General features: G+C 36.1%; 3 annotated features.

Moving 5' to 3' along the window:
• Positions 3,236-4,212: an enhancer, noted in NCBI's record as "OCT4-NANOG hESC enhancer chr16:32849074-32850050 (GRCh37/hg19 assembly coordinates)". NCBI's record gives its function as "activates a minimal SCP1, AML or CMV promoter by ChIP-STARR-seq in naive H9 embryonic stem cells {active_cell/tissue: H9 hESC(naive)}" and the evidence as "EXISTENCE:reporter gene assay evidence [ECO:0000049][PMID:30033119]".
• Positions 7,375-7,876: an enhancer, noted in NCBI's record as "NANOG hESC enhancer chr16:32845410-32845911 (GRCh37/hg19 assembly coordinates)". NCBI's record gives its function as "activates a minimal SCP1, AML or CMV promoter by ChIP-STARR-seq in primed H9 embryonic stem cells {active_cell/tissue: H9 hESC(primed)}" and the evidence as "EXISTENCE:reporter gene assay evidence [ECO:0000049][PMID:30033119]".
• Positions 8,852-9,353: an enhancer, noted in NCBI's record as "OCT4 hESC enhancer chr16:32843933-32844434 (GRCh37/hg19 assembly coordinates)". NCBI's record gives its function as "activates a minimal SCP1, AML or CMV promoter by ChIP-STARR-seq in primed H9 embryonic stem cells {active_cell/tissue: H9 hESC(primed)}" and the evidence as "EXISTENCE:reporter gene assay evidence [ECO:0000049][PMID:30033119]".

The following is a 13,215-nucleotide window of genomic DNA, read 5'->3' as shown; positions in this document are numbered from 1 at the left end:
GGCAAACAGGGTCTGGAGTGGACCTCTAGGAAACTCCCACAGATCTGCAGCTGAGGGTCCTGTCTTTTAGAAGGAAAACTAACAAACAGAAGGACACCCACACCAAAAGCCCATCTGTACATCACCATCATCAAAGACCAAAAGTTGATAAAACCACAAAGATAGGGAGATAACAGAGCAGAAAAACTGGAAACTCTAAAAAGCAGCGCGCCCCTCCTTCTCCTAAGGAACGCAGTTCCTCACCAGCAATGGAACAAAGCTGGACGGAGAATGACTTTGACGAGTTGAGAGAAGAAGGCTTCAGACGATCAAACTACTCCGAGCTACAGGAGGAAATTCAAACCAATAGCAAAGAAGTTATAAACTTTGAAAAACGATTAGATGAATGTATAACTGGAATAATCAATGCAGAGAAGTGCTTAAAGGAGCTGATGGAGCTGAAAGCCAAGGCTCAAGAACTACATGAAGAATGCAGAAGCCTCAGGAGCGGATGCAATCAACTGGAAGAAAGAGTACCAGGGATGGAAGATGAAATGAATGAAATGAAGCAAGAAGGGAAGTTTAGAGAAAAAAGAATAAAAAGAAATGAACAAAGCCTCCAAGAAATATGGGACTATGTGAAAAGACCAAATCTACGTCTGATTAGTGTACCTGAAAGTGACGGGGAGAATGGAACCAAGTTGGAAAACACTCTGCAAGATATTATCCAGGAGAACTTCCCCAATCTAGCAAGGCAGGCCAACATTCAGATTCAGGAAATACAGAGAACGCCACAAAGATACTCCTCAAGAAGAGCAACTCCAAGACGCATAATTGTCAGATTCACCAAAGTTGAAATGAAGGAAAAAATGTTAAGGGCAGCCAGAGAGAAAGGTCGGGTTACCCACAAAGGGAAGCCCATCAGACTAACAGCTGATCTCTCAGCAGAAACTCTACAAGCCAGAAGAGAGTGGGGGTCAATATTCAACATTCTTAAAGAAAATAATTTTCAACCCAGAATTTCATATCCAGCCAAACTAAGCTTCATAAGTGAAGGAGAAATAAAATACTTTACAGACAAACAAAGGCTGAGAGATTTTGTCACCACCAGGCCTGCCCTAAAAGAGCTCCTGAAGGAAGCAGTAAACATGGAAAGGAACAACCGGTACCAGCCACTGCAAAAACATGCCAAATTGTAAAGACCATTGAGACTAGGAAGAAACTGCATCAACTAACGAGCAAAATAACCAGCTAACATCATAATGACAAGATCAAATTCACACATAACAATATTAACTTTAAATGTAAATGGGCTAAATGCTCCAATTAAAAGACACAGACTGGCAAATTGGAGAAGGAGACAAGACCCATCAGTGTGCTGTATTCAGGAAACCCATCTCACGTGTAGAGACACACATAGACTCAAAATAAAGGGATGGAGGAAGGTCTACCAAGCAAATGGAAAACAAAAAAAGGCAGGGGTTGCAATCCTAGTCTGTGATAAAATAGACTTTAAACCAACAAAGATCAAAAGAGACAAAGAAGGCCTTTACATAATGGTAAAGGGATCAATTCAACAAGAAGAGCTAACTATCCTAAATATATATGCACCCAATACAGGAGCACCCAGATTCATAAAGCAAGTCCTTAGTGACCTACAAAGAGACTTAGACTCCCCCACAATCATAATGGGAGATTTTAGCATGCCACTGTCAACATTAGACAGATCAATGAGACAGAAAGTTAGCAAGGACACCCAGGAATTGAACTCAGCTCTGCACCAAGCACACCTAATAGACATCTACGGAACTCTCCACCCCAAATCAACAGAATATACATTTTTTTCAGCACCACACCACACCCATTCCAAACTTGATCACATAGTTGGAAGTAAAGCTCTCCTCAGCAAATGTAAAAGAACAGAAATTATAACAAACTGTCTCTGAGACCACAGTGCAATCAAACTAGAACTCAGGATTAAGAAACTCACTGAAAACCGCTCAACTACATGGAAAATGAACAACCTGCTCCGGAATGACCACTGGGTACATAACAAAATAAAGGCAGAAATAAAGATGTTCTTTGAAACCAACGAGAACAAAGACAAAACATACCAGAATCTCTGGGACACAGTCAAAGCAGTGTGTAGAGGGAAATTTATAGCACTAAATGCCCACAAGAGAAAGCAGGAAAGATCCAAAATTGACACCCTAACATCACAATTAAAAGAACTTGAAAAGCAAGAGCAAACACATTCAAAAGCTAGCAGAAAGCAAGAAATAACTAAAATCAGAGGAGAACTGAAGGAAATAGAGACACAAAAAACCTTTCAAAAAATTAATGAATCCAGCAGCTGGTTTTTTGAACAGATCAACAAAATTGATAGACCACTAGCAAGACTAATAAAGAAGAAAAGAGAGAAGAATCAAATAGATGCAACAAAAAATGATAAAGGGGTAATCACCACCGATCCCACAGAAATACAATCTACCATCACAGAAAACTACAAACACCTCTATGCAAATAAACTAGAAAATCTAGAAGAAATGGATAAATTCCTCGACACATACACTCTCCCAAGACTAAACCAGGAAGAAGTTGAATCTCTGAATAGACCAATAACAGGCTCCGAAATTATGGCAATAATCAATAGCTTACCAACCAAAAAGAGTCCAGGACCAGATGGATTCACAGCAGAATTCTACCAGAGGTACAAGGAGGAACTGGTACCATTCCTTCTGAAACTATTCCAATCAATAGAAAAAGAGGGATTCCTCTCTAACTAATTTTATGAGGCCAGCATCATCCTGATACCAAAGCCGGGCAGAGACACAACAAAAAGAATTTTAGACCAATATCCTTGATGAACATTGATGCAAAAATCCTCAATAAAATACTGGCAAACCGAATCCAGCAGCACATCAAAAAGCTTATCCACCATGATCAAGTGGGCTTCATCCCTGGGATGCAAGGCTGGTTCAACATATGCAAATCAATAAACATAATCCAGCATATAAACCTAACCAAGGACAAAAACCACATGATTATCTCAATAGATGAAGAAAAGGCCTTTGACAAAATTCAACAGCCCTTCATGCTAAAAATTCTCAATAAATTAGGTATTGATGGGACGTATCTCAAAATAATAAGAGCTATCTATGACAAACCCACAGCCAATATCATACTGAATGGGCAAAAACTGGAGGCATTCCTTTTGAAAACTGGCACACGACAGGGATGTCCTGTCTCACCACTCCTATTCAACATAGTGTTGGGAGTTCTGGCCAGGGCAATCAGGCAGGAGAAGGAAACAAACGGTATTCAATTAGGAAAAGAGGAAGTCAAATTGTCCCCGTTTGCAGATGACATGGTTGTATATCTAGAAAACCCCATTGTCTCAGCCCAAAATCTCCTTAAGCTGATAAGCAACTTAAGCAAAGTCTCAGGATACAAAATCAATGTACAAAATTCACAAGCATTCTTGTACACCAATAACAGACAAACAGAGTGCCCAATCATGAGGGAACTCCCATTCACAATTGCTTCAAAGAGAATAAAATACCTAGGAACCCAACTTACAAGGGACATGAAGGAGATCTTCAAGGAGAACTGCAAACCACTGCTCAATGAAATAAAAGAGGATACAAACAAATGGAAGAACATTCCACGCTCTTGGATTGGAAGTATCAATATCGTGAAAATGGCCATACTGCCCAAGGTAATTTATAGATTCAATGCCATCCCCATCAAGCTACCAATGACTTTCTTCACAGAATTGGAAAAAACGACTTTAAAGTACATATGGAACCAAAAAAGAGCCCGCATCGCCAAGTCAATCCTAAGCCAAAAGAACAAAGCTGGAGGCATCACGCTACCTGACTTCAAACTATACTACAAGGCTACAGTAACCAAAACAGCATGGTACTGTTACCAAAACACAGACATAGATCAATGGAACAGGACAGAGCCCTCAGAAATAATGCCGCATAGCTACAACTGTCTGATCTTTGACAAACCTGACAAAAACAAGCAATGGGGAAAGGATTCCCTATTTAATAAATGGTGCTGGGAAAACTGGCTATCCATATGTAGAAAGCTGAAACTGGATCCCTTCCTTACACCTTATACAAAAATTAATTCAAGTTGGATCAAAGACTTACATGTTAGACCTAAAATCATAAAAACCCTAGAAGAAAACCTAGGCAATACCATTCAGGACATAGGCCTGGGCAAGGACTTCATGTCTAAAACACCAAAAGAAATGGGAACAAAAGCCAAAATTGACAAAGGGGATCTAATTAAACTAAAGAGCTTCTGCACAGCAAAAGAAACTACCATCAGAGTGAACAGGCAACCTACAAAATGGGAGAAAATTTTTGCAACCTACTCATCTGACCAGTAAGCTCTCACAAGGACAAAAAACCAAACACCACATGTTATCATTCATATGTGGGTATTGAACAATGAGAACACATGGACACAGGAAGGGGAACATCACACTTCGGGGACTGTTGTGGGGTGGGGTGAGTGGGGAGGGATAGCATTAGGAGATATACCTAATGCTAAATGACGAGTTAATGGGTGCAGCACACCAACATGGCACATGAACACTTATGTTACAAACCTGCACATGGTGCACATGTATCCTAAAACTTAAGGTATAATAATAAAATAAAATAGAATAAAATAACAAAATATACACTAATACAGATTAACCAACTAAAAAAAATTGTAGAGAAAGGTCATTTAAAAAATATGAAGGATAGAGTAATAATCTAACACGTTGAAATCTAAGAAGGAGAAAACAGCTTGTCTGAACAGCATTTTAAGTGGCAATGTTTGAGGTTTTATCAAAATTGGCCAATAATATTAAACGACAGGTTCAGGAGGCTTTTCAAAGCAAAGGAAAACACACACAGAGGACACATCTAGAAACATAATGGGACAATTTCTGAAAAGTAAAAGAAAAATGTAAAGAGCACTTGATAAAAAAATTGGGCTAACTACAAAGAGAAAGAGTTGACTGATAACAACTTTCTCAAATGAAACAACGAAAGCCAACAAGTGAGGTATTGATATCTTTCAAGTCCTGAAATAAAATAAGTGCTGACCTAGAACTGTCTACTTGGTGGACATATCCATCAAATACAAAGATACAATAAAGAATTTCTCCCAAGCAGACCCACAGGAAAAGAAATACTAAAGATTATTCTTCAGGTAGAAGAGCCATGATCCCTGATGAAAGTTTGCAGTTAGAAGAACAATTTTTTAATGAAAGAAATAAACATTGAGAGAAATTTAATTGGATATTGACTGTATAACAGAATGCTATCTCATAAAGTTTAACATGTATCTTCCATACAACGGCAGAAGCATATAAGTTGTGAGTTGGATAAATTAATTTTAAAATATTGTCATTTTTTTTTTTTTTGTAAATAGATGTACCAATTATATTAGACCCTGAATTCAAGAATGCACGTTGTATCAAACCAGGTAAAACATTACCAGGCCAGATTTTTTAAATGGACTCTCTTAAAGTTTTTATAATTTATATTCATATTTCACATATGTTGAAAGTAAATAATGGAAAAGCATGCAATGCAAATATTAACCAAAATATAACTTTAGTTGTACTTATATTCACATTTTAAAAGTTGGACACAGTTAAGTCTCAGGGATTTTTTTACACAACGAAGGCAACCTGTGCAGTTATAACTAGTATTATATTATGCTCTTGGCCTGATTACAGAAGGGAAACGGGAGATCATACCAGACAATGGCAGAATGAAGCAAGAAGGAGTAGAGTTACAGAACATGATGCTGTAACTGGGACTGGAGTTACACTTTTAGAGTTAAAGAATAGTAAACTGGACAAAATATATGAAACATTTTTTTGAAGTACTGAACATCAGGCAGCACAGGACTGTGCTCGGCAAGAGAAGAGAAGGAGCCAGAATGAGTCCTGCTTTATTCCCAGATTCTCCGTGACAGCAGTAGAGACGAATCCCAGAGACAGCAGACATTGTCATTGCACTGAGGAACCAGATAAAAATCAAAAAAGGTTAAGCAGCTGGAATGTGTAGTAGAAGAGAACGTTTACAGAAAAAGGAACCAAGAATCAGCCTAAGGATTCTCCCAAGTCCCTAAGCCAAATGTACATAGGATGAAATTCTAAGGAGCTCAGCAAAGGACTCTACCAGGGAGTTGGAAGAAGAACATTTCCCTGGCATCACATGACAGGAAGACACGTTAGCTCTGACCAGCCAGAGAAGGGAATCCCCTCTGTACCTCCAGGATATTCAGTAAAGACCACTGGAGGTTCATGCCCTAGTGACAGTGCTCATTTAGCTCCAAATTACAGATGGCTCTAGAATAACTCAACAAAGTTTAAAGAAAACATTTAAAACAACAACAGAAAAATACTCATCCTGAAGTTACTGAACTGCCTGCCACAACATTGTTCAAAGGTAGCCAATCAAATCTAGATATTCAATAGCATAACACCAAAATACCCCCCCCCAAAAAAAAACTCTGACATGCAAAGAAGCCGTAAGATATATATAATTAAGACATATATTAACAGGATAAAAATAAGTCATTTATAAATGACAGAAAAGAAGGAAATTTCAAGGTCCTTAAAGTAAATATATTTTATAAATACATATAAATAAATACATATATATGTCAAGGTACTTAAATGAAAATTGAACATAGGAGAAAAATAGAAGCTATAAAGTAAAAAATGTGACATGTATACATGAAAAATAAATATTTGAAATAAAAATTCCATGAGATAGAATGAGTAATCGATTTTACCCTAACATCAGAAAATTTATAGAACAAAATAGAAGCTTTACAAACTAAAGGACAAAGGGTAAACTAAAATAGGAAAGCCAGAAACTCACAGATACGTCAGACAATATGCAGCAGTGTAACATACATGTAATCAATATCTCAAAAAGGATGGATGGGGGAATTATAGGTGAATAAAGAATGGTACACTCATTCCTGAGGGCACCGAGGAGGGAGGATAGCTTTAGATTCCTAAGGGAGGGTATTATCCATTCATGAAGGTCCAACCCCCATGAACAAACACCTCCCAGTGAGCCCCACCTGCAACATTGGGGATCAAATTTTAACATGAGATTGGAAGGGGCAAGCATTCAAACCATAGCAAGAGTTAAATTTCCTTTTTTAAAAAAAATCACTGATATGATTCAATTTCGCCATAGATAAAAGCTAGTATTTCAGCCTACCGTTGAGTGTACTTATAGCTCACCAAAAGGGCACTCTGTCTCGGGAATACAGATTTGCCTAGAGGTATCCTATTGCAGTCAAAGAAAGAGCAATGAGGGATGGAAAAGGTTAGTGATGGAGACACCAGCGCTGCATTTTGCAACAAACAATGTAAAAACTTTACGGATTGGTTCTGCTAACTTACTACAGTTTACATGCCTCTCAGGTGGGAGAATTGTTGCGTTTTTTCTTAAGATAGAAAAGCAATTCAGATAATCTGAAATCTCCACAAGAAGGATAAGAAGCACAGCAGAAACTATTCTAGGCAGGAAGTCAATCCTTTCAACTGTCTGTGCTCCATAGAAACAATTGTCTGCACTGGGAGTCATATGAGGTACAGACCACAGCCAGACCTCTGATCCTCTCATTAGTGATTTCAGAAGAAATTACCAGTCAACTGAGTAATTCACTGAGTAAAGTAAACATTTGGCACTGAAAGAGGTTAGACGGATAACTATTTGTATCACCATATTCATGAAGCTGGAATATGTTCCATTACTCGTATGACATCCGAATGGAAGATGTTGAAAGGTCTCTCATCTTGTAAGATGGATATGAAAGAACATTTTCTGAGAAATGAAATTATTAACACACCTGCGAGGTGGATGGAAGAGAAAAAAAAGAATAATCAGCTTGAGTTCTTCTCCTTGATAAGACAACTCACTAAAAACATAAAGAGAAAAATACAAGTTTAAAATAATTAACCAGAAGAAGACGACTCTAGAGATTTTAAATTGCTGATAAGATTTTAATTTGCTCCAAGTTGAAAATAATTATATTGCTTGTGTTTTAAGGCACATAATGAGCAATTATATCACACATGATAGTTTCAGCAGTAAAATATGATCCGTTAACAGCTGGAACTCATAGAAGCATAGCACAATGTGAAGATGGAATTTGCTAAAATAAACCATCTGCTGAAAACTAATATTCTGCAAATTTAAAAATAAAGTTTAAATGTTATTTGTCTTATTTAATAGGTCTGTGAAAAAAATGCGATATTTGAAAAGTAGGTGCTACCTTAATTAGTTCTTTATGTTAGACGGCTGGTTACAGTAATGCACAGTAAGGTGCTACATAGATATATTGCTAATTTTCTGCATAAACTATGTATTTTGCTTAAATTATTTGAAATTTTATAGTTAAAGTAACAAATGTATACTTAAATGTTTTGACACAAATTGCAAATATACCTTTAAAAAACATCTTACACTCTAAATATTATTTGTCACCTATATAGTTGTCTTTTCTCTATAGGAAAGTTTCAATTTTTCCCTTGAAGCTTTAATTATTTGAGTCTATAAAATAAACTGATAATGTACAAATTAACAGGAAAAAAGGTTTACAGATATGTGCACAAGTATGCACTTGGAGTTTACATAATATATATAATATATCTATACAAATATTTGTATATTATAAAGAGATATACAAATATATACTATATATATAAAAACTCCAGGAAAGGCAAGGTAGTCAACACGCCTATACTGTCTTGAGGTTACAGAAAACACAGAGCTGTAGGTTGGTAAATCAGGCTTTGCGGAAGACAGGTGACGACAAGGAAGAAAGAGGAGCCTGGCAGCAGAGGTGGTCTTGTTACATGGATGAAACCTCACAGGGAGCAGCCCTCCTCTTGGGAAGTATAGATAGGAAATGGTTTTTAGAAATGTAAACGTGCCAGACTCAGTTAATCTTTCCTAAACCCAGACAAGGGAGTATCTCAGGGAAAGCCTGTCTATATCAATGCAGATTTTCTCTACAAATACAAATCTCCCCAACAAACACAGCTTTTCAGCTATTTTTGTAGAAGAAGCTATCTCCAGTCTTCCGAGTAGCCATCTTGAAATATGTCAAAAAGCTGGCCAGGCGCACGCCTGTAATCCCAACACTTTGGGAGGCTGAAGTGGGTAGATCACCTGAAGTCAGGAGTTGGAGACCAGCCTGACCTACATGGTGAAACCCCGTCTCTACTAAATGCAAAAAATTAGCCGAGTGTGGTGGTGCATGCCTGTAATCTCAGCTACTTGGGAGGCTGAGCTAGGAGAATTACTTGACCCTGGGAGGCTGAGGTTGCAGTGAGCCAAGATTGTGCCATTGCACTCTAGCCTGGGCAATAAAAGCAAAACTCCATCTCAAAAAAAAATGCATTTTTGGGTAATATTTTGAGTATCTTTACCTCCATATGTACAATAAATAATATTGTGTTTTTAATCTTTGCTCTTCTGTGGAAAAAAACACAGGTGTGATTTCTAGTGTAGCTGAACATCGTTTATTTGACAATATTGCAGTTGTGTGTGGGTGTGCGCCTGTGTAGCTACTCTTTAATTTTGTTCTCACATAATGATTAGATATTAACAATTAATTCAGTAAAATGTATGTTTCGCAATATTTCTCCATGTTATTATGCTTTAAATTAGTTTAATCATGCCCCTATGATGTGTACATTTTAATCTTTGACTATAGGTCTCAATCTTGCTTTGGATGCTGTATTTCAATTTATGCTAATAAAGTCCTACAGCTAAAAAAGATTATATAAACTTAGCTACATTTTACTAGTATTCTGGTGTCATTTTAAATTATGTAATGAAATCAAATTTTAATTTGGATTATTGTTATCTGAGTTAAGGATCTAAATTTTTAATTTTCTTATAAATATTACATAATTATTTCTGAACCATATATTGACTAATCTGCCCTTTATATGATGTGCTTTATAAGAGCTTGGGATAGTTTCATTTGCAAAGATGAATGCTTGAGAAGTAGATATTTAATCATAACATTTCAAAATCTACTGGATAACCTAGAATTGAAAAATAGCCTATAGGTTGAAAAACTCCTGTAGTGAAGAAAGAAAATAACTAATATACAGTGACAGTATAAATATTGTAAGTATTTATTTTATTAACGCCCTGAAATTTGATAATACAAACATGTAATATCTACATATCATCCATATATCAGGTCATAAAAAGTCAATACATTCTTCAAAAATTTAGCATAACAGAAAATGCACTCTCTCTCCTTGATGGAATTAAGTTACAAATAAAAGTAAAAATAAGTAGATAAGTAGATGGAAGTAGATGTTTAAAAACAAAGAAAAATATTTGTTTTGGATAACATAAAATCTCAATTGACAATTCCAATATTTCCAGAACTTTGCCTGTCAACTGGTAGAGAGTTTTCCCCAGGAGACATTTGTCAATGTCTAGGGTTATTGTGGGGATGTCAAGACTGGTGGAGGTGTGAAATTTAGAGGTCAAATGAAACACCTAGCATTGCTAAGGCAGCCTCCCACAACAAAGAATCCTCCGGTCCTAAAGGTAAGTAGCACCAAGGTTCAGAAACCATAATCTAGACAGGAAACACTACGTAGCTATTCCAAGTGCTCAGGAAAACACATCAGTGCCCTCGAGGGGAAAAGTGTAAACATTTTAATTGCTGTACATGGTGACACAAATCCATGTTGTTAATCTAAGTGGAAGGGGCTGAAGCACAAAACGTAATTCAAAGAGTTTACTTGAGCCACAATGAGGACAGCTGCCTGGAAGAAACAGACCCAAGTATCCTTGGATATGAACTCCCTTTGGAGCTTTGCAACAAGCAGTTTCTTAAAGGCAAAAAGGGGTCCAGAAGTGGGATGATGCAAAGAGATTTGTCACAAATTCCCATTGGCTTATGGAAATAACATTTATCAGTGACTGGCTATACACTGTTACACTATTATCAGGTGTGGATTATAGTGTCTGGTGTGGCGTTATTGGTTAATTTATAGCTATAACTACTATGGCAACAGCAAGCAGCCTAGGTGAACATACAGCTCAAAGAGGAGAAGGACAGAACTGCTGTCTCATTTGAATATCTCTCTGGGCCTGATTATTTAAAGGGACTTGCATTTCTCACATGAAAGTTATTTTCTTTTCTCAATGTCCATAAATGAGAATAAATAGACGTAAAATAGATCTTTTCGAGGATGAAGTAAATGGAATGAAAAACAAAACCCAAGCTGACCAGAAATCATAGAGGGAAGAAAAGGATATAAATATATGGATTTTTCAAAGTGATTTTAAGCTATTAGGAATCAGTTAAATGTTGGGAGATTTTGTCTGAGAATGGGCTAAAGGAGAATGTCCCTTTTGCCTAATGAATTTTCCCTGAAAATCACTAATAGGAGGCAGATAAATAGTAGAAAAGGCATACAGCTTTCTGCAATGTGTGTACACTGGAGCCCTTAGAACGAAGACCCAGACACACGATGCGTGCAGAAGCTTATCTACCACATGAAGTGTACAAAAAGAATGAGGTCTTGGATCACAGGGAAAAGAAAGAAAAAGGTTATGTGAGAAAACGACCCTGGCTAGCAACAGTGGACTTATTACCTAGGTGGAACTTCACTGGGAGCAGTCCTCAGAGAGAATAGACAGAAAATGTTTCTTTCAGACCTTTGGAGACCTGAGACTCTCAGTTAAACTTTCCTAGATCCAGACAAGGGGGCAGACCTCAGAGAAAGCCTGGCTGCATCAAGGCATATTCTCTACCGATGCAAATCTCCCCAAGACAGCTTTGCAGCTAACTTTGCATTTCCAGCCCTTCTCAATAGCCATTTTGAAATATATCAAGGAAATATATTTAGGGGTAAAATATATTAGTTTCCCTCATACAGCTATAAAACATACAGGAATAATTTTTGTCAATGTCTACTACAAATCCAATATAACAATAATTATACAACCCACCAGATATTGAAGAAAAAATATGTAGAGTTCCTCAATTACAAATGTTGATACTAAAATGCCAAATAAAATAAAAATAATATCCAACAATATTTGAAACAGTAAGACAAGAAACTGGCAAAAAAAAAAAAATAAAACAAATATGCACCTTGGGGATGAAAGTGTGTTTCCAAATTTGGTAATCCAATAATATTAATAATCATATTGATTAGCCCAAATTAAAAATAAATAGGGGATTCTCAGTACATGCTAAAGTATATTTGTTAAAAGGCAATATTCATGTCTTTAAAGATTTTAAATGCTATGAAGAGTCTGATATTCTATATGCAAACATGTGTATGTCCATTAGAAGAGAGGCCTGATTTTCATATGTCACTACAAAGAGAGAAGTGGATAGATTAATTAGCATATGCATAGAGAGAGCATAACATAGAAATTTACTATCATATTAAAGGAATTTTAATTCAACAATAAAATAATTCAAAGGTAAAATTTTAAATATTTTTAACAGGTACATTATTATTAGATAATATTTATACTAATTGTGAAAATATTCAATGCTAAAATAAGATACAATGTCTAAACATCAGTATTAAAACTAGTATAACATTTGCTTGTTTATACAAGGAAAATTCAAGCTCGACCTAAAATTATATGGGAAATAAAAGAAAAATTTTAAGGGAGCTCTTTAATAACATAATAATATGTATATATACACACACACATATAACATGTATATATGTTATATGGGATAGATATAGATTTAACATGTTATACCTATATTTGTATCTATAACTACAGCTGTATGTATCTACATTTCTATATATTTACTCAGTGATATAAATATAGACTGGAATAAATATAAAGACACATATGATTCTTGGGTAAAAAAGATTTAGTATCATAAAGACAAATTCTTTCCAAATTCACTTATGAATTCACAACAATGTACAGTTTCATTAGTATAATTTAAAATTTTTAAATAAATTCCAAGATTCATTTAAAGGAATATACATGTATACAAGCAGTCGAGAAAGAAGCAAGAGTGCACTAAACTAACTTGCTATTAAAATACCTTTTTAAACTTAGTCACTAAAACTGAGCAGTACTGATTTGGAGTACTGGAATTTAGGTATATGGGATCTCAAAAGCACAGAGCTCAAAGGAGACCCCTGTATGCACCAGAGCTTAAGATGTGCTTTGGAAG

The sequence above is a fragment of the Homo sapiens genome, chromosome 16 (genome assembly GCF_000001405.40).
Source record: "Homo sapiens chromosome 16, GRCh38.p14 Primary Assembly".
Lineage (NCBI taxonomy): Eukaryota > Metazoa > Chordata > Mammalia > Primates > Hominidae > Homo > Homo sapiens.
Note: the sequence above shows the minus strand (reverse complement) of the source record. Positions and strands in the feature narration are given on the sequence as shown.